The sequence below is a fragment of the Homo sapiens genome, chromosome 9 (genome assembly GCF_000001405.40).
Source record: "Homo sapiens chromosome 9, GRCh38.p14 Primary Assembly".
Classification (NCBI taxonomy): Eukaryota; Metazoa; Chordata; class Mammalia; order Primates; family Hominidae; genus Homo; species Homo sapiens.
Window position 1 is genome coordinate 24,896,269 of NC_000009.12, and position 26,332 is coordinate 24,922,600.

The following is a 26,332-nucleotide window of genomic DNA, read 5'->3' on the forward strand; positions in this document are numbered from 1 at the left end:
ATCTATTTGCACTATGGTATCTATATTATATGATTATATATTAAAATATTTATATGTTTATATTTAATATGCATTTATATTTAGATATACATAAGAACATATAATTATACATTAAATATAATATTTTATAGTAAACATAACGGTTGTATATATTACATACAGCATATACACTTATTTAGGCTGGGCGCAGTGGCTCATGCCTGTAATCCCTGCAATTTGGGTAGCCAAGGCGGGCGGATCACTTGATGTCAGGAGTTCCAGCCCAGCATGGCCAACATGGTGACACCCCATCTCTACTAAAAATACAAAAATTAGCTGGATGTGGTGGCATGCACCTGTAGTTCCAGCTACTCAGGTGGCTGAGGCAGGAGAATTGCTTGAACCTGGGAGGTGGAGGTTGCAGTGAGCCGAGATTGCACCACTACACTCCAGCCTGGATGACAGAGTGATACTCCATCTAAAAAAAAAAAAAGTATATACACTTATTTTGTATTAAAGCATAACGTATACATATAGTAGCTATAGCTACATATTTTATATATATTTACTATATAGAGAATGGGTAATTAGCAGTAAAAATAACTATTAGATGCTTTATTAATACCTCTTCTGTGGAGCAGATAATAGGATTTGGGGGACTAGTATTGAAAAGAGGAGACGGCATACGTTTTCAGTATCAGGCAGCATCAGGTTCGTTATTAATGCATTACCTAAGTAACACATTCAACAAACATATACTGGCTACCAATTATGAATAAGCACTGGATCTGTAAGATTCATTTCCTCAGTTCAGAAAATTAACCATCCAGAGGGTAGGACAAATATTGCAACATGTAACACTGATGTTTCACTCTAATAATATTAACACATAGCAAATGCCTCTGAGATATCCAGGTTGAACATGCAGAGAAGAATATCACTCTAGAGCTTGGAGGGGGTTAGGCTAAATGATGAAGATCTGGGTTTTATTAACATTTTGGAGGGATGCTTAGCAGTGAGAAAGCTCAGGCAAATCAAAAGGAAAAAAAAAAAAAACACCATAAAAGTGATATGGGAATGCTGGGAAGGGAAGAACGTGGTCCCTTTAAATGATACAGAAGTGGAGACATGGAAGTGCTGAGTAGAGAAAGGCGTGCTCCATGACTAGGGCTCCACCCCCACAGACCTAGATGAGGACAAGCACTCGAGCTTTTAAGCCCAAATGTTGCATTTTCCAAGACCACCTTGGCCCACCACGCCTCCATCCAGGGCCTATAAAAACCCGAGACCCGGCCGGGCGCAGTGGCACACGCCTGTAATCCCAGCACTTTGGGATGCCAAGGTGGGCGGATCATGAGGTCAAGAGATCAGACCATCCTGGCCAATATGGTGAAACCCCGTCTCTACTAAAAATACAAAAATTAGTCGGGCATGGTAGCGTGTGCCTGTAATGCCAGCTACTTGGGAGGCTGAGGCAGGAGAATTGCTTGAACCCGGGAGGCAGAGGTTGCAGTGAGCCAAGATTGTGCCACTGCACTCCAGCCTGGTGACAGAGCGAGACTCCATCTGAAAAAACAAACAAACAGACAACAACAACAACAACAAAACACTGAGACCCTAGCAGGCAGGTACACAGGCGGCCAGATGTCAAGAGAAGCACATCAGCGGAAGAAGAAAGACACAAGCCGTCGGACATCGAGAGGACACCGAGGGAGCACACCTGCAGAATAGCACACCAACAGGCACAGGCACAGCGGCAGGCCATCAACTGGCAGGACGAGGCGGAGTTTGACCCGGTAGTCATAGGAGAGCCGTGCCACCAGGCAGCCCAACTCCAGGAGAAAATCATCTCCCTTCTGGCTCCCCCGTTGGCTGAGAGATACTTCCACTCAATGAAAATTTGCTCTCATTCTCCAAGCCAACGTGTGATCCGATTCTTGCGGTACACCAAGGCAAGAACCTGGGATACAGAAAGCCCTCTGTCCTTGCGACAAGGTAGAGGGTCTAATCGAGCTGGATAACACAAGCTGCCTATAGGCAAACTAAAAGAGCACCCTGTAACACATGCCCACTGGGGCTTCAGGAGCTGTCAACATTCACCTCTAGACATTGCCAAACCCCACAGCCTGCCTGCCTGTATGCTCTCCTAGAGGTTTGAGCAGCGGGGCACTGAAGAAGTGAGCCATACCCCTATCCCATGCCCTGTGAGGGGAACAAGGGAAACTTTCCTGCTTCAAAAGTGTAGGGGAAACACTTTAGGAGTATAAGAAAAATATGGTTTCACCAGGAAAGAAAGAGAGGAAGTGTTCTGAAAATAATAGAGGAAAGGAGAAAAGAGTGGGTTCATTGTAATCTAGGGTAAAGATGGTTTCACTGGTGATTCAAGCATCCAATTCAGTGAACGAGTTTTAATGCTCTGATCACTTAAATTTGATTTGACCAAAATCCCAATAGTTAAATTTATAAAAACCCAGCTTATTTTGGAGTGATTTGAATCTCAGTTCCACAATTTTCAGGTCACGGGACCTTGAATAAGTTAATTAAAACCTTAATCCCTTCAGTTTTCCCTCATCTACAAATTAAGAATCTGTGTCTTTCTATGTGGTAGGGGCAGGAGCAAGGAGGGAGAAAGATTGAGAAAGACAGAGAGAGAGAAATAAATAGCTGGTGCTCAATTAAATTGAAAAATCTGTCCTCATGTGCTTATGCACTAATACATTTTTTTTTCTAATTCCAGAATTCCCAGTGTTTTGAATCTGACATTTTCTAGATACAGCCTGAGAAATCCTAATGATATAAGCTAGGAGTATTCTCCGTATGGGTCTGAAGAGTTTTGCATTCCCAAGAGCAGTAGATGGGAGAAGTTACATGTGCATACTTGCTCTTTCTTGATCTTCTGCATTCAAGACGTTTGCAGGCTTCTACCATCCTGCATTCTGTCTTTGACCTCAAATGCTTCGTTTTGTCCTCTCTGAGCTGACATGCACTAATTACATGATTTTGGAAATCAGCTCATATATTGGGGCTGAAACAGGGATTACTCCAAGTGCTATCACTGATGTTAAGGTATTGAGTAAAACTCAGTTCTATGCAGAAACTTTTATTTTTTTTGAGATGGAGTCTTGCTTTGTTGCCCAGTCTGGAGTACAGTGGTGTGGTCTCCGCTCACTGCAGCCTCCACCTCCTGGGTTCAACTAATTCTCCTGCCTCAGCCTCCCAAGTAGCTGGGATTACAGGCATGTGCCACCATGCCCTGCTAAGTTTTATATTTTTAGTAGAGACTGGGTTTCTACTAAAAATAGTAGGCTGCTCTTGAACTTCTGACCTTAAGTGATCTGCCTGCTTCAGTCACCCAAAGTGCTGAGATTACAGACGTGAGCCACTGCACCCAGTCTGTAGAAATATTTTTAGTGCACTGAGTGGGTGCTGAGAACTTAGAAGTGGAAAAAAGTATAAGCTCTCAAAGACCGAAGCAGAGCCTAAATATGACTCCTCTTGTCTCTCTCGGTACAGCTCTCTGATTTTGTCCTTGGTTATATGCTGCTCCAAAAAAGGGAACAGGAGTAGCGGGTGCTACAAGTGGAAAAAAAACTGTGAAATGTTAAAAAGGAGGAATTTTGATGACACATAAATCTTATATAGACTGTATTTCATTGTTCTTCATAGAAGACATCTATGTCTGACCCATATGATGGTTCGGGCAAACTGATATGAAAGATATAGATAAAATTTCCCAACGTTTTATAGTGAAACTGGTCCTAAATGTTCTGGATCCCATAGGGTTACGGTTGCTTACATAAAAAAAAATGTGTTGGCACAGTAATATATATGACCTGTTGTTGGCATGACCCATTGTGTGTGATGAGGAGGGTGACAGAAGAGAGCAACCAGAGGATGACAGAGCTTCTTTTGCTGAGGATTAGAATTTAAACATAACCAATATGATAGCTTCATGTGTCCCCCAAAACATAAAGAACAAGATTTTGTGAATCCCTGCTCTGTACATTTCCCAGGGAAGGAAACAGAATCATTATATTTCAATCTTGCATTTGATTTTTCTTCTGTAATATAGATGAATCCTGAGGGATTTACTGAGTGTTTTTCTCCTCTTATTTCCAGGACTGTCTGACAGGTGAAGGAGAGAGAGTCTGTCAAAGCATAACATTTGAGAGGTCAGATTGAGACAGAACAGAATTCATTCTTCTGACAAAGATATAACAAGACAGAATGGATTTTTAGTTGTCCCTAGCAGATATCTCTATAGTGCAACATATTAGACCCTTTTTAAAGAAGTGTGGAAGAAAAAATAAGACATATGAGGAGAAAAGTTATTCTCTAAGAATAACCACCTGATTATAAAATGTATAAAGAGAGGAAACATGAAGTTTGTCTTTAAAGAAAATATTATTCATACTGTCTTGTCTCTGCTGACATAAATATATACAATTCAGCAGAAAGAAATGTAAAGTATACGGATGAGAAAAACCAGATAAAAGGAAAGTAAGGGTGGGTTGTTTTTAGTTGGGAGCTGGGGAGTAAACCATAAACTTCAGAGCTTGAACTAGGTCCCAAATTTTGCTCTAAGCTTTCTTGAGGCCATTGAAAAACAAGTGTAGGACATTTATAAAATCTACAGAATTTATAACATGAAAACCAACTAATTTTTCTAAATATACACAACTATTTCTGATACTGGTGCAAAAATTTCTTTCAAGGTTGAATCAATATTGAGGGGACATAAGAAATGTTATGGACAGCATCTTAATCATAATACTGTACAGAAACACATTTTGTCAGAATATCACATGGCCTATCTCACAGAGGCCAATTGCATATCTGAGTCTGTGGCAGATGCAGCCCTGGCTTTGAGTTTGGAGAGAAAAAGCCTCAGGTGTTTGTTTGGGAAAGGTGCTTTGATCTTTTTGAGTCTCGGTTTCATATCTGTTAAAACAAGAGGAAGGATAATTATGTCTCCTGGTATAAAGATGGTCTAGCTTGTTCCAAGGAAGTAGAATGCATATGGTAAAGGTTAGTTTCCTCCCCCTATAAAGTCCTCTATAAAATTTTGCTACACAAAAGCATTGCATTAACATTGTTATATTTCATTTAAAATATTTTTGTAACCAATTTGCTTTAATGAGGTTGTAAGATTATATGTGAACTGTCTTTTGCAAGGAATACCCCCTTGTACATTTCCAGCACTCAATCATGCTGAACTCCAGGACTGAGGGACCTTCTGAGGCTGCCTTACTTTTGTTCTATGCAAAGAGCTTGGCAACCATGGAAACAGTCCTGACTGCTCATTTTGCACATTTCTTCCCTAGTGTGTTAATCAGCCACAGCAAGAAGATAACATCAAATACCCCATGCCTGCTCACTTTATAAAGGAAACTACTCTGGCTTCTTCCTACTACCTTTATAGAGATCTTAAAAACAGAAAGGTAACAAAACATGTGATATGTTTTATATTGATGCAACATTTCTCAGACAGAAGCTACCTAAACTCAGAGAGGCTATTTGGAGGCTGGCACAAATTCCAGCTGAAGTTGTGGGTGTTTTGTTTATTTGATCTGAAAGTGCTATTTGGTGTGATTTCACATAGTGGGATTCAACATTACTTTTCATTCCCCGGCAGGTGAATAAGCACTGGACTGTGTGTAATAATACAGAGAAAAGAAGGCATTACTATTGAACAGTATGTAGGTACCACATAGTATTTTGACCAGTTGAATATAGTTTATGGTGGGAAATAGGAACCAAAGAGGGGGCTGCAAGTAGCTAAAGGAAGGAAAACAAAGTCCTTAAAATAAAAGAAGGTAAAACCAAACAGTGAACAATAGATTGTCTTTCTTTGGTTTAACCATATTCTATGTTTGTGATAATAATTTACTTATTTTCTTTATAAGCATATGCATTTTAAATATATACATGTTTTACATATATAAATGTATATGTAAAGATGATATAAGTAGACATTTCCAGATTCACAAAGATTTTATAGTCTAGCCCCTAGAATTCCCATCTAAAAAACAAATGGCCATTTATACATATATAAATGTGTAAAACATAGATACATAGATAGATAGATAATGGATTTTTTCTAAGGTTGAAACTTATGTGAATGGAATTACACTGTGTGTATTGTTTTGTGCCTATATCTTTTGTTTAACATGTTTTTGGGATTCATTTGTTACATAGTAGTTGTAGTTTGTTCCTGTTCATTGTTGTGTAGTATTCCATTAATGACTACATTCCAATTTATTCATTTTAATGATGACCATTTCAATAGCTTCCAAGTTGAAGCTCTATGAACAATGCTGCTCTGAGCATTTTTGCTCACATCTCCTTGTGCAATAATCACGAATGTCTTGAGGGTACATATCTGGAGTTGAATTGTTGGGTCATAGAAAATGAGCATCTTCAAATTAACTAGCTAATGCCAAACTGTTTTTCAAGGTGCTTTACCAATTTACACTCACTGCAGGAATGCTTGAGGATTCTTATTGCTTCATGTACTCACTAATAGTAGAGTTGGGGAACTTGACATCATTTGGCAGGGGAGCATATTGGATGCACTCAACTGGAGTCTCCAAAAAGCGGGTAATATAAATAACTTTTAAAAGCTTCCAAGGAATACCGATTGCCAATTTATGTAGATAAATTCTAAAATCACAATTCTTAGCCTTAAATTATAATGCCTTCTTCTTCCTGCCAATGGGTAAAAAACACCATATATATAGGTTTAAACTTCTAAGTGTTTTTCAAGTATTTTAAGAAGCATTTAACATTACATTTAGAGAAAATCAAATTATTTCCATTCTTCCTAGAGGAGTGAAGTATGTAGACTGTTTGCTGAAACATATTCATTGCATGTTTTACAATGTAAGTGTTGAATATAAAATTTTACTACTCATTCTGTAATAAAAACTTGGGAGAAAATCAGGGTTATTTCTGTTTTACTTTATATAAGGCAGTAAATAAAGTTGAAAATGTTTAAAATCCCCTAATTGTATTACTTCTTGACCGTATTTTATTTTTTGGCTTCAGCAATAGGGCAAATATAATGAAGAAAAACATTTCCTAATGTGGTTTCTAAATTCGCACCTGGACTCAGGAACTCCCTGATACAAACCCATATTGATTAGCTAAACTTCGCCAGTAGCAGAACATGGCTGGCTGCTGCTATTCTGCCTCTACTCACAGCATCTGCTAGCATCTTGCACAAGGAGTCTGATCATTTTCCTTTTGTTATTTTGTTTTCTGTGAGGTCCGCAAAATCATCCTGTTGTCACAATCTCTATTGGAACTCCAGGATACAAAACTGAGAAATAGACTTATTTGAACATGAGGCCTGTGCCGTTTGGGGTACCACCACTTCTTTCGTTGACTGGTCGATTTACTATATTGTAAGGGAAAGTGCTGTACAAGCAACTGCAATTTGAAAGGAAGGCTTTTATCTATTGGCAAGACCTGAGTACATTTATATACCTTCACATAGTACTTACTCCCTGAGCCCAGAAAATTCAAGGAGAAATTTCTAGATTCACACATATTTCGTTGTCCTTACCCACTAGAAATCCCATCCATGAAACAAATGGCCAGAGCTGTTTATGTGCTGCACAGGACTGGGGAACTTTATTTTAATTTTTTGAGCAGACACATAGCCTTTAACATAGAGTTCTCTGAAATGGAACAAGACTCTCCGTTCTTTCCTTTGGGATGCCTGCCCTTCTATTCTGTATTCATAAGAAGACTTGATTTAACCAGGATGACACAAATGAGAACTCTTTTAGAAGCAGTTTTTTTTTTCCTTAGGTATATAAGCAGGTTGTATTTTGTAACTAGGATTTTTTTCCTTGCCACCTTCACCAATTTTGTAAGATGAGGCATATGCTAGAAAATATATTGATATTAGATACGTTAAAAAAAAAGTTCCATTCATATCCTGAAGTCAATTCTGTCTCCAATATATTTTGCAAGTTTCACTCTTATGAAGCAGCTCAGACACCACTGAATGATGACATTCTAAATACCACGCTCAACTGAATATAAAAATAAAGAAGCAGAGAATTTTTAGTCTGTCCAACAGCTTCTTTGTAGCCAATATTCATTCAATATTTATGTTTCTAGGGCCTATTGTATTGCAGAAAAACATGGAAGATTGCTTTTAAGTTGAGGACTAGGATTAAAGGTTAGGAATTATGAAGAGAAATATCTTCACTCAATATAAAAGAGAAATGTTTAATGCAACATGAAAATAACACTGGACTTTGGGTCTAAAAATGTTATTTATTTATTTATACTTAGCTAAAAGGCATTTCTCAAGTTTTCTCAGTTCTTCTAACCTGAATTTCTTCATCATTTTGTCCCAGAATGCAGTTGGGAGAATCAACTTTGGTACTTTCAAAATGTCAACTTCATATTTAATATAAATTTTATTAGCTTTAAAATACGAAACTATTATATAATAAATATTAACGTTAACATTGTATAGTATAATATTAAATGGATTACTATATAATACTCAATAGATAGAATTTAACAACTATGAGCATATGTATGTATATATGATTTATATTATGTTTGTGTGTGTAAATATCTATCTATCTGTCTATCTATAAATAGATAAGGCCCTCCAAGAGCAAAAGAGCAACATGTCACTGGAAATGCTTCAGCAAGAGTGGATTCATACCTACCAAAAATTTTATTAGTGATAGGTTAATATGTTATGCTTCCACTTTTCACGATAATTCATAGCTGTAGGAAAAGATGAATGGAGAGGAAAAGAATGGTATGTTTATGTGGTGGGAAGTTCTGGCTCTAAGGTCTGAGGTCAAGAGACTGATATTAATATACAGTTTTTGCAATATTATAATTGTGGGCCCTGGGCATATTACCTCACATCTTTAAGCCTGTTTCCTCATTTGTAAAATGAAGACCTATTAAAGTACTTATTCATAGAGTGTTGAAATGATTAAAGAGAAATGAATAGGGTTTTTAATTGCATGCAAATATTACATATCTCATGGAATCTGCAGGAATGCTAAAGAATCAGTCTTGGATGCTATACAGAAAGGAACAATGACGCCAGGAGCAATGTAGTCAGGGGAAAGGCAAGACACCACACCAGCGCTGCCACCTCACAAAGTGTCTGTGCTGCTAGGAACTGTGTGCTAGAAACTCCATTACAGAGAAACAATAACTTTTGAAATACATAAGAAACTTGTGCTGAGGACCTGTTTTCTAAGCTACACACTGGTGACTTGTTCCTTACTCTTCTGTCTAGGGGAAAGTCCCCAGACCTACGTCAAAGAGTACCATGTGGCTACACAAATTGACATTCCCATTTTCCATATAAAGTCTACAGGAAGCTAATAGGCATAGCAGGAGCAGCATGGTGAAGGGGCGTCCCATTCAGCTCTTCTAGTTACACAGGCAGTGCACCTTCCCACATGCACCAACTACACAGGGCTTGTTCTCAGTGTGGCTGCTTAAAATTAATCATCATCATCATCATAAAATAAATTATATAATAGCTGTCAAGTACTTTCAACATGCTGTGCCATTTCCAAAATAATTTTTTCAATATATGTATTATAATTCCTTTGTAAACAATAAGGGAAAGAGCCTCAGATAGGAAAAGCACTTACCGCAAGTTTCTTTGTCTGGTAAATAACTGAGTTGAGCTTCCACATATACCCATAAAAATAATTTAGTTGGAGAGATAATTCATCATAGGTTTTATAATTAAGTTTGAATAGATCATGCTGTCATTTCATCATTCAATATTTATTTAGGGCAATATGAAAAGTAGAAATAGAGCAATACAAATATTTCTCCATCTTCTGAGACTAATGAGAGAATGAAAAAATATCTGAATTATTTTTGATGAAGGGCAGGTGAACTCCCAAATTGGGGCTTAGACCAAGAGGGTTCTTGGCTTCACCCAGAAAAGAATTCAAGGACAAGCTAGTAGTGTTAGACAGCAACTTTTCCTGAAGTGGCAGTGTACAACAGCAGCAGAGGTATTGCTACTTCCAGAGAAAGACTACCACATGGGCAGTGTGCCCATAGTTGCAGCTCAAAGTCACTTCTGCAGTCATATTTATACCTACTCTTAATTACATGCAAATTAAGGGGTGGATTATGCTGAAATTTCTAGAAAACAGCGGTAGCTTCAGGTCATCACCATAGAAAGGGGTGGTAACTTCTAGGTATTGCCATGGCAATGGTAAACTGAGCTGGCACATTAGTGGGCCTGTCTTATGGAAAGTTGCTTCTGCCCTGTCCCTGTTTTAGAAAGTCCTCAATTTTGTCCAGGTGTATGAGCCCCGTCTTCAGAGTCTAGTCCTGCCTCCTCACTTGACCTCTTCAGAGGAACTCTCCTTTCAAAAGAAGATTCATTGCCCATGAGCCTTGTTTCTTGGTGTCAGATCATTCACCCACTTTGTGTTATTTTTCATACATATAGTCTGCTTAAAAGGAAGACGCTGAGACAAACTTAAGTAGAGGATTTATTTGGGCCAAGTTGAAGACTGAAACCTGAGAGCACGGATTCAAATTTCCTTGAATATACACTTTGATTAGCAGCCATTACAAGTGAACTTTTAAAGGAAAAGGAAAAGCAATTCCTAAGTTGTCTACCAGGAATTTACACTTAAATAACGTAAGCTGTTGATCGGCTATAGATTGTTCTTTGTATCACAGTTTCCAGAAACATGATGTTAAATAATAGCTACCAGGCTTGGTAGTTGGCAGAAAGGCTAGCCCAGATTGTAAGGCAGCCAAGAAAAGAAAGTTTCCAGTGGGAATTAAAGATGTTTTATCTTCAAAGACGGGAAAGACAGGTTGGGTTTTATGCCTCACAGGGCCAATATCATACATAGTCAGCAGATTTGAGGGGAAAAAAAGGTGTACATACTTGTGAGGGGAGCACAGCACATGTTCAATGGTAAACATGTATGTAACATACATACCATGTTCACTTAGGGGTATTCTCAGTATTAAATGGATGCAATTTGACTTTTTAGGTCAAAAGGTGAACTATAGGACACAGAGACAATTTGTGTGTAGACTCCATAAGCTGACTAAAACTGACAAGGTTTGCAACAGTTTATCAGAAAAGAAGGTTTATAAGGCAGCTTCTCTGTCCAAACAGAGTTGTAGTTGTCTGGGTTATAGACTGGAGCTGATAGCTCCTAGAGTTTAGTTGTAGGAATTTAGAAAGTTGCCATGCCAGCCAGGCCTGAAACCTCCACCAGTGTGTTAGGTAATTTTGTTTCCTTAACCTTTGGTTTCACCTTAGTTGATTAAGTGGTGTCTATTTTGGTCTCTTAAGTCATTGTGTTATGTGTATGTATATGTGTGTGTGTGTTTGTGTGTGTGTGTATGTGTACGTATATATATTTTGTGAGCTTGTTTCAAGCAGCACAAGGATAAGAACTCTCTCTTTTTTCCAGTTATATTCCCAGTGCCTAGTACATTTAATAAATATTTACCAGATAAATGACAATACAGGATCATTATTGCTATAATAGAAACATGAACAAGCAAGCCATGGAGGCAGAGAAAATACTTTGTGTTGGTGGTTCCAGGAATTTTTCCAAGAAAAGGTGATATATAAGCAACATTTTGGATGATAAATGGGAGTTGTCAAAGTAAAGAAGTGTGAACAGGAAGAATTCACTTTTTCTTTCTGATATTAGGAATTAGAGAAGGCTCTTTGAGGACAGCACAAATCACCTGGTTGCCATCAAGCAGACCATCCAGAGGCAAAAATTTTTATCTGAGGAATTTAGAATTAATTAGACTCCCTATTATCTAATGCTGGCATCTGGTATCAGGCTTTAAAAATATGTGTGTGTGTTTGTATAAATATATATATATATATATATGTATATGTATATCCAGAATTGCTATACATCTCTGGAATGCATGCATGTGACAACTCATTGTGCAACCCTTGTTAAGGCACCAAAATATCTACAAATATAGCCATTTATTATAACCTATGTGACTAATATGTTTAAATTTACTTTAAATTCCCGCTTTAAGGTCCATGAATATTCCTAAGAACAAATCCACTGTACCACACTCCGTCCTCTCTTGCTGAGGCACCACACTGCACTCTTCTGCAGTGTTCTATCTACTAAAACTTTCCTTTTCAAACCTATACTGTTATTGGTAAATTATTATTACCATAGTACCCGACCACTTTGTGATGCTGGGGCTCTGACACCTCACCTGCATTCTTGACACCAGACAAAAAGGAGTTAAGGACAGCAAGGAAGAAGTGAAAGGAGGCCCACATGTCAGAGCCTTATTTTTCCTCATTTCAGAATTTTCCCAGAGCTGATCCTTTGGAAAGTACCCTTGGATATGGAGGGCAGTGGGGTTGAAAGGGTTAGGTGTTTTTGCCTGAACAGACTGCCTCCTAACTGTCAATCATAAGTCCTACCTGAAATAATAATAAACAGGCAGAGGGCAGAAATGTGTCCTGCTGTCTTACAGCCAGGGGCATTGATTTCACTCATTCTAAATACTGTTATACTTTGTTAAATAAATTTTATATGAGGCCATTCGTTTGGACTGAGTTCCTCCATTATGCCCAACAGGCCAAACCAAAATGAAATTACTCATGCTTAAGTTCCATGCCACCAAGCCAAAACTATGTTGTCTGTCTGACCTTCTGAGAAATGAGGAGAGAGAGAGAAAGAGGATGAGACAGAGAACAGCTTAAACCCCTTGCAGCCAGTTTTAGCCAATATGATGAGAAAGTCCCTTCTGCTCTAACCATTATAAGAAAAATAACTTTGAAATGATAAACCTACTTTTTTTTTTCTCTGTTTCTGCTTTCCTCAGCCCTTTCTGTCTATAAAGCCAGTCTGCCCTGCACAGCTCATCAGAACACTCATTGTATTTTATAAAATGAAGTGTTGCCTGATTCTAGAATTGCAAACAAAAGCCATTTAGGATCTGTAAACTAAATTTGCTGTAAGTTTGTCTTTGAGAAAGCATAGTGGTTAATACATAACAATTTTTATTAATCCTCTGTTAATCACTTTAGATAGCTACTCCATAAAAACAATATAGATAAAGTTTTTATTTTATTTTATTTTATTATTTTATTTTTTCAGATGGAGTCTCGCTCTGTTGGCCAGGCTGGAGTGCAATGGCACAATCTCGGCTCACTGCAACCTCCATCTCCTGGCCTCAAGCAATTCTCCTGCTTCAGCCTCTTGAGTAGCTGGGATTACAGGCGTGTGCCACCATGCCTATTTTTTTTTTTTTTTTTTTTAGTAGAGACGGGGTTTCACCATGTTGGCCAGGCTGGTCTCAAACTCCTGACCTTAGGTGATCCGCCAGCCTTGGCCTCCCAAAGTGCTGAGATTACAGGCTTGAGACACCGTGCCCGGCCATAGATAAACTTTTTAAAACAAGTAGCTAAAGTTTCATTACTCTTTTTTTTTTCTGGTGTTACTTAGAAACCAAACATGCAAAAGAAATGAATTTTCTACATCCAACCTTAACATGTTAGAAAAAGAAAAATGGGATTCAGATAAGTGGAGGTGAAGATAAATCAAGATGCTGTTACTCATTTTACTTTCTAGAATCCATTACATTCATGAATTCAAATGGAATCCTTTATTTAAAGGACTTGGTTTTCCTTTTTTTACTTTTCTTTTCCATAACCAAACTTTAAATTTCCATGACAAAATCTGTAACTGGAAGTCTAGCTTGCAAATAAGAGCTGCTTTCTACTGTAATTTCCATGAAAACTAAGAAAAGTCTGTGGAGATTTCTCAAAATGCATATACAGATTTTTGTTGTTGTTGTTTTGGAAATAAAGTCTGTGGAGATTTCTCAAAATGTATACACAGGTTTGTTTGTTTGTTTGTTTGTTTTATTAACCTTCTGTGTATAGTTTGTAGAATACTTAAAAAAGGAAAATAAAAGATTTTAAAATAATTGTTAATAAAGTTAAAGTCACACTTCCCATTGATTCATGGACTGTTCTAGCTGAATGAAACATTAAAGATGAAAATCCATTTCTTTAGTTGACATGTGAGGATTGGGGCCCTGCAAGGCAAAGTAAGCTTAAGGAACTAGGATTAAAGTAAGAGATTTGGGCTAAAACTCAGTGCTCCCGTGCATTTCTACCTTATGGACTAATGATTATCCTCCAGTATTGTATTCTGGGGTAGGCGAGAGTGCAAATTGCCCTATGGAGTGGTACAAAAGAGTACAGACATTTTCATCCGGTGATCTCTTCCTTATCATCACTTGGCCTCATTTTGACACAAAATAGTAAAGAATATGCTTCTTTTCCTAGAGGATAGTTGTGAGAATTAAATGATACCATGTAGGTAGAGGGCTCATCCCAGTGCATGGCAGATATTGAGAGATCAGTACATGCATCTATTATTTTTTAAAAATCCACAAAAATAAAAAAAACCTGTGTTGACCTTCATCATCATTATATATATTAAATTAACTTATGCTTCCTAGCCCAAAAGAATATTCAAATAAATGTACCAACCATAAAATTAATTAATCTCTAACCAAAGAAGGGAATTAGAGAACACGAAGGGAAGAAAAACAGTATCTGAGAGATTGCACTCAACGTTTCTCAGTGGTTTTGAGGAATATGGAGTGGATAAAGCAAAATGGCCAGGACCATGAGATTTCCTACCTGTCTTATACTGTGAGAATAAATGGCTGCATAGCTTTGATATGGATATTTAGGAAACTCAACACATTGGGGTTCACTGAAATTTCCCAATCATTTCTCTTCTCACTGTTCTCAATAAGTTGCTGTGGTAGTTTTATTTATTCTTGTTTATTGTCTGTTATCCGCAGACTAAAAAATATCCTCAAAGTAAACATAATCCTCTCAATCACCATGCAAACTATATAAAGTTGCAATTATTTTGTTAAAATTCTACTGAAATTAAAATCAACAACAAACTTAAACATACTGTGACTACTAATGGGAAAAGTGACTGCAGTTACTGACTTTGATGCTGAGTTGAGAGCGGGGTGATAGGATATAAAGCACATAGAAATAGTTGAGAATCAAAAAATATGTCAAAGAAAACCAACCAACCAAACCAAACCAAAACCAAAATCTCCTTCACCTAGCAATAATGATTTTTTTTTTTTTGCAACATTTTCAAAGTACTTTTTTAAATCTGTCATTCTATCTAATTTAAACTGTGTTAGACCTCTGGCATCATCATTATCATGAAGAAGTTTAAGAGTCAAGTATAAAGTTCTTTGGAGGGTTACTGGAAAACTAAGCACAAGGATGCAGGTTTCTGAGCTCAGATTTTTCCCCCCATTTATAGTACGTAAGCACTCCGTAGCATAAATTGGGCTATAGCTGGGTCTAGAGATGGCAGCTATTCATCCAAATCCAGGGCTATACTTAACATGTGTTGTTGTTTAAAATGGAGAGTGAGAAGAAGAGAGATTTCTCTAGAAAAAGGACAAAGTAGAAACAAACTTTTAGACAATTGTAGTTCCAGGGAACATGGCTAGGAAAATGAAGGATGCCTTTGTGTGAAGAAGAAGTCATATTTTCCACCAGGTAGATGTGGTCTATAGGCCAAGATCAAAGCTTGGGTAGTGGGTTTCAGCTGCCGCTGACCCTTTTGCTGACATTTTGTGCAATGCACAGTCAGCAGATGGGCTTGTTCTCTTCTACCATGCATTTCCTGTCCTTGACATCTTATTTTTTTTAAAAAAAACATCTCTCAGATGTCAGAGAAAGGAAAACAACTCCAGGGCTAGTGTAAGAGTTAAGTGAAGACAGAAAAGTCAGTTGTCTGACTTTTGCTGAAACTGAAGCATTTCAGTAAGTTAATGATTTAAAGATCTATTTTTTTCTGAATTTAGATCATGTTTGGTGATCATAAGGCCTACTAGTAGAATAGGGCTTGTTTCTGGTTCATTTTCAAAGGTTGGACTCACCAACAGGAAAGACTACATGTCATGTGACATGGCGGACAAAGGAAAACCTGACTATCCCAACATGTTTTACCAGAATTTTCTGCAATGTCACTTTCAAGTTGGTCTTATTTAAAATGAAGATGCCTTATCTGGGAAGCAGGTGACCGACATGATTTTTGATAAATAAACAATTATTCAGAAAATTCAGCTTTTGTGGTGCATAGACATAAATCGAGGGCATATATAGACTTCACTGGAATCTATTTTTCTTTTGTTAATGTCAGTGTTAAGACCTTAGTTTTATGGAAAAAAAATCAACTATAGTTATATGCATGCTGTAAATTGAATTAGATTGATTTTGAATTACAGTTACTAATCAATCTAGTTTGATTAGTTTGTAGTTTGAGACCCAGTAGGCATAGATAGTTTGGGATATAAAGTAAATGATAAATTGTACTAAGAACTGCATAGATAGTTTGGGGTATAAAGTAAATGGTAAATTGTACTAAGAACTTGTTAAAAATGACAAGAAATATTTCATTCAAAACTGTTGCAACAGGGGAGCAAGGCTGAACACAATTCAGAGAAACAAAAGGCCACAGAGTTTTTAAGGGCTAAGATGAGCTAGTGGAAAGGTCTAAAAGTGGGGAGGTTGTTTAATGTTATTAGGCCATTCCCTTTTGTGAATTAGCATTTACTGAAATTAGACTGCTGCCCTCCCATAGCCACTGGGAGATAGGAGCCCTATTTTTCCTGTTGATTACATTTCAAGTGGATGACTCACAGATCCTTGAGAAAAACATTCCTGGATTGTAGAAGATGTACATTGCAAAGGGGCAGAGGAAGAATTTATAGTTGCAAGTTTTCTAAAGTATATCCTCTAAGAGAGATCAGGGGCTTACTGTCAGAAATCTATCCAAAGTTTATTGAAGCTGAGGGGAATTTTAAGGCAATGTTGGTCATGATTAGATTCTTTCTGATCATCACATATATGAGTGCTAGATAATAAATACATAAAACTTTTGGAAGCAGTATTGCCTTTAAGATATGTGGTGGGAACCAAGAATATTATTGAAATTTAAAGTGAGGATCAGCAAATTACAGGTACAAGACAAACATGACCTGCTACCTTTTTTTTTTCTTTTATGTCCTAAATACTATCTCAAAAGAAAAAGGGCATTATTCTACATAGTCATAATACCGTGAGCCCACCTAAGAATTTTAACATCAGGAAGATCACATAATTTCTTATACAGCTTCTATTTAGGTATCCCCCAGTTATACGTACTGTTCCTTGTAGGTGCATTTTTTAGAAAGATTCTTTCATGAAGAGTTCGGTCAAACATAATAAACTAGTTCATGATGGCTACCTCTGAAGCAGGAGAGCTGAGAAATTTGAGTCTGATAGTGGAAGGGAGACTTATTTTTAGCTATGTTTTATTTTGTATTCTTTGACATTTTTAAACACGTTAAAATATTACATCTTCAATCAAAATTTTAAAAGTTAAAAAAATTATTCAGAGATTACACATTGCCTTTAGTTATCATGTCTCTTTAGTGTCCTTTAGTTTAGAACAGTCTTTCTGCCCAACACACCTTTTTTTTTCAGAGTTCAGGCCAGTGTTATTGTAGAATGTTCTGCAGACTACATTTGTCTTATTGTTTTCTCATTAATACATTTGGGTAAAACCTGCCACTTGTTTTAAAAATAGAGTTTTACTGGGCACAGCTACACTTATTCATTTATATGTTGTCTGTTGCTATTTTCATGCTACCATGATATATAATTAAGTGAGATTCTATCATGGTACAACAGAGATTGTATGGCCCACAAAATGTAAAACATTTACTATTTGTGACTTTATAGATAAGTTTTCTGGTCTCTGGTTTGAGGATTTCATCTTTGACACAATAAGCTTTGGATTATCCATAATCAGCTAAGTGATATTCGGTAAGGCATTTAACCCTTCTGAGCAACTTTTCACTTTTACCTACCTTACCTCATAAGGTTTTGTGAAAATAAATGTGTAAATGCATCTAGCAGCTTCTAATATTGTCTAATTTATCTTATAAGGATAAATTAATCTCTAGCAAAGCGACAAACTCCCTAAAGAAGAAAACCACCTTACTAAAAGAAACAAAAATCCCCAGAGGCTTATCGAGGTCTAAAATGATGCTCAGAAGGCTCCTGCCCTGTCAACAGGGGAGATTTGTAGTATATTGCAGGTCATTCTATGTGTGGAAGTGGTGTCCAGTGTGTTTCTGGAAACGTTTCTTCTGTTAAGAGAACTCTGATTTTGTTCACTCTTTCCCTTAGAAATATGAACCCCAAAGGAGAAAGGATGTCTCCAGAACCCAAATGTGAATCTTGATTGTTTTTAGCTCATCAGGGTGTTTTAATTATTCCAGTTATAATGCAACATATGAATGTGAAAAGAAGAAATAAAACTGAGCTCTTGATAATGTTATTGGATCAATAAATTAAGTAACTAAAAAATCCCTACCTCAAGATTTCCTGTTATCTGAGATGATAATAATTCCTCTTGGTTGCCTATATTATTTACATTCATTCTAGATTTAGCCTCTGAAAGAAAGAAATATTGAAGTTTTTATACTTCAATATATATTAAAGAAAACTAAAACACTCTAACTTATTTCTATGATTTTTTGACATTTCATTCCTGTTTTTAATATTTCAGATGGAAAATATCAATGTTCTTATAATTTTTCTTAACTTTGTCTTCAGATTTGTCCATTGTACCTATCCTGCAACTTATCTGCAATTTAGCTACTCTTTTTCTATTTAACTGACAATTTCATGTTGAATTACAGCATACATATAGTGCAAAAATCTTAACTATATAACTCAATGAAATTTTCTGTGACTATACCTATTTAAGCAGCTCCCAGGTAAAAATACAGAACATTACCAGCAATCCCCTAATCTACCTTCCAGTTACCGCTTCAAACTCCCACCCTAGGAATAAGCACTATTTTGACTCTACTTAGCATAGATTAGTTTTTCCTCTCCTTGACTGGATATATGTAAAATTTAAGAAGACTTTAAAACTCTCTTTATTGTCTGGCTTTTATGAACTATACATATTGTATTTATCAGTATATTCTTTTATTCTGTTTTATATATTCAATTGTGTGGATATACCACCATCAAGAAAAATCATTCTAATGTTTATCGGCATTTGAATTGTTTCCATTTGAGGGCTGATGTAATTAATGATGCCAATGGCATCCTTGTATATGCCTTTTCAGGATATTTGTACACATTTCTATTAGTATATATTTATGAGTAGAATTGCAGCATTATGGGGTATTTGTATCTCCAACTTCAATAAATACTGTCATTTTTCTAAATAGTTGTACCAATTCAAACTCTCATCATTATTACAAACAGTATATGAAAGTGTGTGAATTCCAGTTACTGCACATCCTCATCTACAGTTGGTACTGCCAGTCATTTAATATTTATTCTGATATGTGATAGTATCTGATTATGGTGTTAATTTACATTTCCTTAATAACTAATCATGTTGAGTGTCTTTTCACATACTTATTGCAGATCAAGTACATATATATTTTTAATAGTAAAGACAGGGTCTCGCTCTGTCACCCAGGCTGAAGTGCAGTGACACATTCATAGTTCTCTGTAACCTCAAATACCTGAGTTCAAAAGATTGTTCCACCTCAGCCTCCCAAGTGGATAGGACTGCAGGTGCATGCCATAATATCTATTTTTTTATTTTTTTAAGAGACGGGATCTCACTATGTTGCCCAAGCTGGTTTCAAACTCCTGGCCTCAGCTTCCCAAAGTGCTGGAATTACAGATGTGAGCCACTGTCCCCCGCCAGAATAATTTTTATTCTAAAGACTTCGTTGAAGACTTTGATCAATCTTTTAAAATTGAGTTTTTTGTCATTTATTATTGATTTATAGAAACTGTATATTCTGGTATTAGTTCTTAATTTATTATGTGCATTTCCTAATCTTCTCCACTCTGTGACTTGCTTTTTTAGTCTCTTCATGTCAAGTTTCTTAACAAAGATTCTTAATTTGATAAAATTCCTATTATCAATTGTTTTCTTTATTCTTGGATGATTCTGTGTGTTATTTAAAATCTTTTACTACCTTATATGAGAAATATGTTCTATTACTTTATTTTCCATAAACTTCATCATTTCACTTTTAACTCTGAGGTCTGCAGTCTTAATGAAATTTGTTTTTGTAAATAGTGTGAGGTAGGGGTTCTCCTCTACTTTTTGTGTTCACACTGTATGACCAGGGTAATAAACTTTGTAACAACAAACTTTGCTTCTCTTTTACATCTTGACATTTTCAAACGTGCATATCATTTTCAGTTGTGGTGTTAGTTGTATTTAATTAATGACTTTTTTGTTGCGGTAGATCTGCTTCTGTGATTATGTTTGGTTGATATACTTTACTTTGTTACATCTTGAATACTCCAAAAAACCTTAAATCTGTTGTAAATATCTTCCACTCTCATTTCTTCTTTCAAAACTCTTTTTTGGCCCATCTATCCATCTTTGTCTTTGCTTTACAAAAGTCTTTACTTTAGCAAAAGAGAGTTTTTTATAGTATGGATAATATGGATTTTGAGAATAATTATCTTTTCAGGGTTTTCTAATGAAGAGCAGAAAATGGCCACATCTAAATCCTCCTTCTCAGCTGCTGATAAGATTAATATACTGATTAACACCTTTTCTAAGTTGGATTGGAGGTGAAAGTAATTCCATTTAGCAAAGCCTCATCCCATTTGCTGACATCTTCATTAACCTCACTGATAAGGAAACCATTTCACAATACAAATTTCTCAAAGCTAGAGATTTTACCTTCACAGAGTCACCTAACAATACTAATTTGAAGTATGAAACATGCAGTTTAAATTGCCTCAATAAATTCACTATGCTCTATCCTCTTATTTTTCCTATTTAAAAGGTTGACAAAAGAAACCAGTTACTTCATACTCACTAATAAAGGTTGATTTTCAAAAGGACATTTCATATTTTCAGAAAAAGGGAGCAAAGGTAGAGATTAAAGTGAATGAAAGTGTCATCATAGCAAGGGGAAAACTAGTAGGTGAAAATCTGTGAAGGGAAGCAAATATAATTCTGTGTAGAGATTTATTAAACATATGAAAAAATGCTAGAGTTTTTTAAAAGTTGCATTCTAGGCATTCACCCTTTCTTTATCACAATGCTTTTTATTAAAGTGAAACAATACTAATTTTTTATGTTTTACAATCAGTAAAATAAGACATTTGTTAATTGAATAACTGACTTTTATAAACCGCAAGACATTTCCTCAGCTTCATAGGACTTTCTGAATAGTGTTTATTATTCTTCATTGTGATTTCTTCAGTTAGTTAACTGTAATTTTTAACAGGACTTCTAGAAATCTTCAGTCATATCCAGTGATGTGCAGGAATATATTTAACAACTGACTTTCATGTTTGTCAATTGTCATTGTATAAATACTCCTACATGACTGATTTAAGGCTAGAAATGTGACATCACTGAATAGAGTTGATTAGAAATATGCAGTAACACACCATTACATAGTGTTACAATATATATATATATACAATTGTAGATAATATAACATTAAATCTTAGATAATAGGAACATAAGGTAAAATACTTAAGAAGTAATGATATCTCAGTATTTGTTACTTTTGTTTTTAATAATGTGTTTATAAATTTAATTTTTAATAAGTGGTTGTGTGTTTAACAACTGGCTTATGAAATTTAATATTTCCCAATCAGCTCTGCAGGAAAATGTTGGCCCTGTTTTAGCAAACTACTAGTATTTATCTGTGATCAAAAGAGACATCAGCACAATGTTTCAATAGTAGCTCAAAAGCTCCTTTTAAATCTCATGTTGAAGAAACCCAAGTTGACTCTATCTAGGTTTAAATCAGAGGTTCCTAAACTGTAGCACATGTCAAAATCACCTAGAGGACTTGGCAAAATATACATTCCTTGACTTAACTCCCAGAGTATCCTGTGAGACTTAGCATTTGAATTTTTTATAAGTTCTCTGGTGATGGTGATACTTCAGATGCTAGGAACCACACTTTGAAAAACAGTTGTTTTTTTCTCTTGTAAATTTGGTTGAGTTCATTGTAGATTCTGGATATTAGCCCGTTGTCAGATGAGTAGGTTGCGAAAATTTTCTCCCATTTTGTAGGTTGCCTGTTCACTCTGATGGTAGTTTCTTTTGCTGTGCAGAAGCTCTTTAGTTTAACTAGATCCCATTTGTCAATTTTGGCTTTTGTTGCCATTGCTTTTGGTGTTTTCGACATGAAGTCCTTGCCCATGCCTGCGTCCTGAATGGTAATGCCTAGGTTTTCTTCTAGGGTTTTTATGGTTTTAGGTCTAACGTTTAAGTCTTTAATCCATCTTGAATTAATTTTTGTATAAGGTGTAAGGAAGGGATCCAGTTTCAGCTTTCTACATATGGCTAGCCAGTTTTCCCAGCACCATTTATTAAATAGGGAATCCTTTCCCCATTGCTTGTTTTTCTCAGGTTTGTCAAAGATCAGATAGCTGTAGATATGTGGCGTTATTTCTGAGGGCTCTGTTCTGTTCCATTGATCCATATCTCTGTTTTGGTACCAGTACCATCCTGTTTTGGTTACTGTAGCCTTGTAGTATAGTTTGAAGTCAGGTAGCGTGATGCCTCCAGCTTTGATCTTTTCGCTTAGGATTGACTTGGCCATGCGGGCTCTTTTTTGGTTCCATATGAACTTTAAAGTAGTTTTTCCAATTCTGTGAAGAAAGTCATTGGTAGCTTGATGGGGATGGCATTGAATCTATAAATTACCTTGGGCAGTATGGCCATTTTCACGAAATTGATTCTTCCTACCCATGAGCATGGAATGTTCTTCCATTTATTTGTATCCTCTTTTATTTCATTGAGCAGTGGTTTGTAGTTCTCCTTGAAGAGGTCCTTCACATCCCTTGTAAGTTGGATTCTTGGGTATTTTATTCTCTTTGAAGCAGTTGTGAATGGGAGTTCACTCATGATTTGGCTCTCTGTTTGTCTGTTATTGGTGTATAAGAATGCTTGTGATTTTTGCACATTGATTTTGTATCCTGAGACTTTGCTGAAGTTGCTTATCAGCTTAAGGAGATTTTGGGCTGAGACAATGGGGTTTTCTAGATATACAATCATGTCATCTACAAACAGGGACAATTTGACTTCCTGTTTTCCTAATTGAATGCCCTTTATTTCCTTCTCCTGCCTGATTGCCCTGGCCAGAACTTCCAACACTATGTTGAATAGGAGTGGTGAGAGAGGGCATCCCTGTCTTGTGCCAGTTTTCAAAGGGAATGCTTCCAGTTTTTGCCCATTCAGTATGATATTGGCTGTGGGTTTGTCATAGATAGCTCTTATTATTTTGAGATACGTCCCATCAATACCTAATTTATTGAGAGTTTTTAGCATGAAGCATTGTTGAATTTGGTCAAAGGCCTTTTCTGCATCTATTGAGATAATCATGTGGTTTTTGTCTTTGGTTCTCTTTGTATGCTGGATTACATTTATCATCAAAAAGTGGGCGAAGGACATGAACAGACACTTCTCAAAAGAAGACATTTATGCGGCCAAAAAACACATGAAAAAATGCTCACCATCACTGGCTATCAGAGAAATGCAAATCAAAACCACAATGAGATACCATCTCACACCAGTTAGAATGGCAGTCATTAAAAAGTCAGGAAACAACAGGTGCTGGAGAGGATGTGGAGAAATAGGAACACTTCTACACTGTTGGTGGGACTGTAAACTAGTATAAGCCTTGTGGAGGTCAGTGTGGCGATTCCTCAGGGATCTAGAACTAGAAATACCATTTGACCCAGCCATCCCATTACTGGCTATATACCCAAAGGACTATAAATCATGCTGCTATAAAGACACATGCACATGTATGTTTATTGCGGCACTATTCACAATAGCAAAGACTTGGAACCAACCCAAATGTCCATCAATGATAGACTAGATTAAGAAAATGTGGCACATATACACCATGGAATACTATGCTGCCATAAAAAATGATGAGTTCATGTCCTTTGTAGGGACATGGATGAAATTGGAAATCATCATTCTCAGTAAACTATCGCAAGAACAAAAAACCAAACCCCGCATATTCTCACTCATAGGTGGGAATTGAACAATGAGAACACATGGACGCAGGAAGGGGAACATCACACTCTGGGGACTGTTGTGGGGTGGGGGTGGGGGGAGGGATAGCTTTAGGAGATATACCTAATGCTAAACGACGAGTTAATGGGTGCAGCATACCAGCATGGCACATGTATACATATGTAACTAACCTGCACATTGTGCGCATGTACCCTAAAACTTAAAGTATTATAATAATAAAATAAAATAAAATAAAATAAGAAAAACAGTTGGTTTTAATGTTTTTCAGGTTCATTCTTTTACTGTGAGTAGAGATGTGTCCAAAAAAAAAAAAAAAAGTCAACTCAATGTTGAATAAAGAATCTAATATTCATTGGTTATAGAGCTTTAGCTCTGCACTACAATTTCTTTGGCTTCTGGTGTCTGCTCCAAACTATATATAATGAAGATCCTAACTTGCTGATCTTGGGCTTAATCATTCCTCCATCCGCCTCTTTGAAAATTTTTATAGTGACAAATATTTTCTATTTGAGTGGTTATATCATTCCTCTTTTTTTCCCACTCATCCTTTTTTCTTTGCTCTCCTTTCTCCATTTTCTCTCTGATTTTTTTCTCCCCTACCTTTTATTCTTTCTCTTTTCTCCCCTAAGGGTTCTTCTCTCCTCTCTTTTGTTATTACCTCTCTCTTCCATTTTCCTCCTCCCCTCTTCCCCCCACCTTCTCTAAGCCCCCTTTCAGTCCCTCTGAACAACTATTTACATAAATGGCAGTACCTTTCCCTTCCTCATGTGTAAATCTTTTTATTTACTAAGAAAGCAGAAATATGATTTTACATAAGCAAATAACAAATACGTACTTGCTAAGGCATACTGTAGTACCTAGTTGTGTAACAGTCTAAGGAGAGGTAGGAATGATGAAGGGAAAATTCAAATTATTTTAAATTGCTCCAGATATTAATTTTAGTTATATTTTATATTTTAAAATATTAGTAATAGGTGTATAGCTCCAGAAAGACCTCTATAACTAAAACTACAACTACAAAACACTGCTGAAAGAAATCATAGATGAAACAAACAAATGGAAACGCATCCCATGCTCATCAATGGGTAGAAACAATATTGTAAAAATGGCCATACTGCCAAAAGCAATCTACAAATTCAACACAATCCCCATCAAAATACCATCATCATTCTTCACAAAATTATAGAAAACAATTCTAAAAATTATATGGAACCAAAAAAGATCCTGCATAGCCAAAGCAAAGCTAACCAAAAAGAACAAATTTGCAGACATCACACTACCTGATTTCAAACTATACTATAAGGCCATAGTCACCAAAACAGCATGGTACTACTATAAAAATGGGCACATAGACCAACAGAATAGAAGGGAGAACCCAGAAATAAACCCAAATATTTACAAATATTTACAGCCAACTGATCTTTGACAAAGCAAACAAAAACATAAGGTGGGGAAAGGACACCCTTTATAACAAATGGTGCTGGGATAATTGGCTAGCCACATGTAGGAGAATGTAACTGGATCCTCATCTCTCACTCGTACAAAAATCACCTGAAGATGGATTAAGGACTTAAACCTAAGACCTGAAACTATAAAAAATTCTCAAAAATAACATTGGAAAAACTCTTCTAGACACTGGCTTAGGCAAGGATTTCATGATCAAGAACCCAAAAGCAAATGCAGTAAAAACAAAGATAAATAGCTGGGACCTAATTAAACTGAAGAGCTTTTGCGTGGCAAAAGGAACAGTCAGCAGAGTAAACAGACAACCCACAGAGTTTGAGAAAATCTTCACAATCTATTCATCCAACAAAGGATTCATATTCAGAGTCTAAATGAACTCAAATCAGTAAATAAAAAACAAATGATCCCATCAAAAAGTGGGCTAAGGACATAAATAGACAATTCTCAAAACAAGATATACAAATGGCCAACAAACATATGAAGAAAATGCTCAATATCACTAATAATCAGGGAAATGAAAATCAAAACCACAATACGATACCACCTTTTAAATTTTTTGACTAAATATGTTTATTTCTTTGATAAAATTATTGAGTATGTCAATCCTTATTTTCACTAGGATATTTTTGTTCATATTTTGTTCACAATTTTTTTAATGCTGAAGTTATTGATTTAATTATTATTTTATAAAACATAGAATCCTTAGATATTCCTGAGGATGGCGGTCACATGAGCATATT

At 36.2% G+C, this 26,332-nt stretch overlaps 1 pseudogene; it reads left to right on the plus strand.

The window, feature by feature from the left end:
* Positions 9,201-9,467, plus strand: RMRPP5 (RNA component of mitochondrial RNA processing endoribonuclease pseudogene 5; annotated as a pseudogene).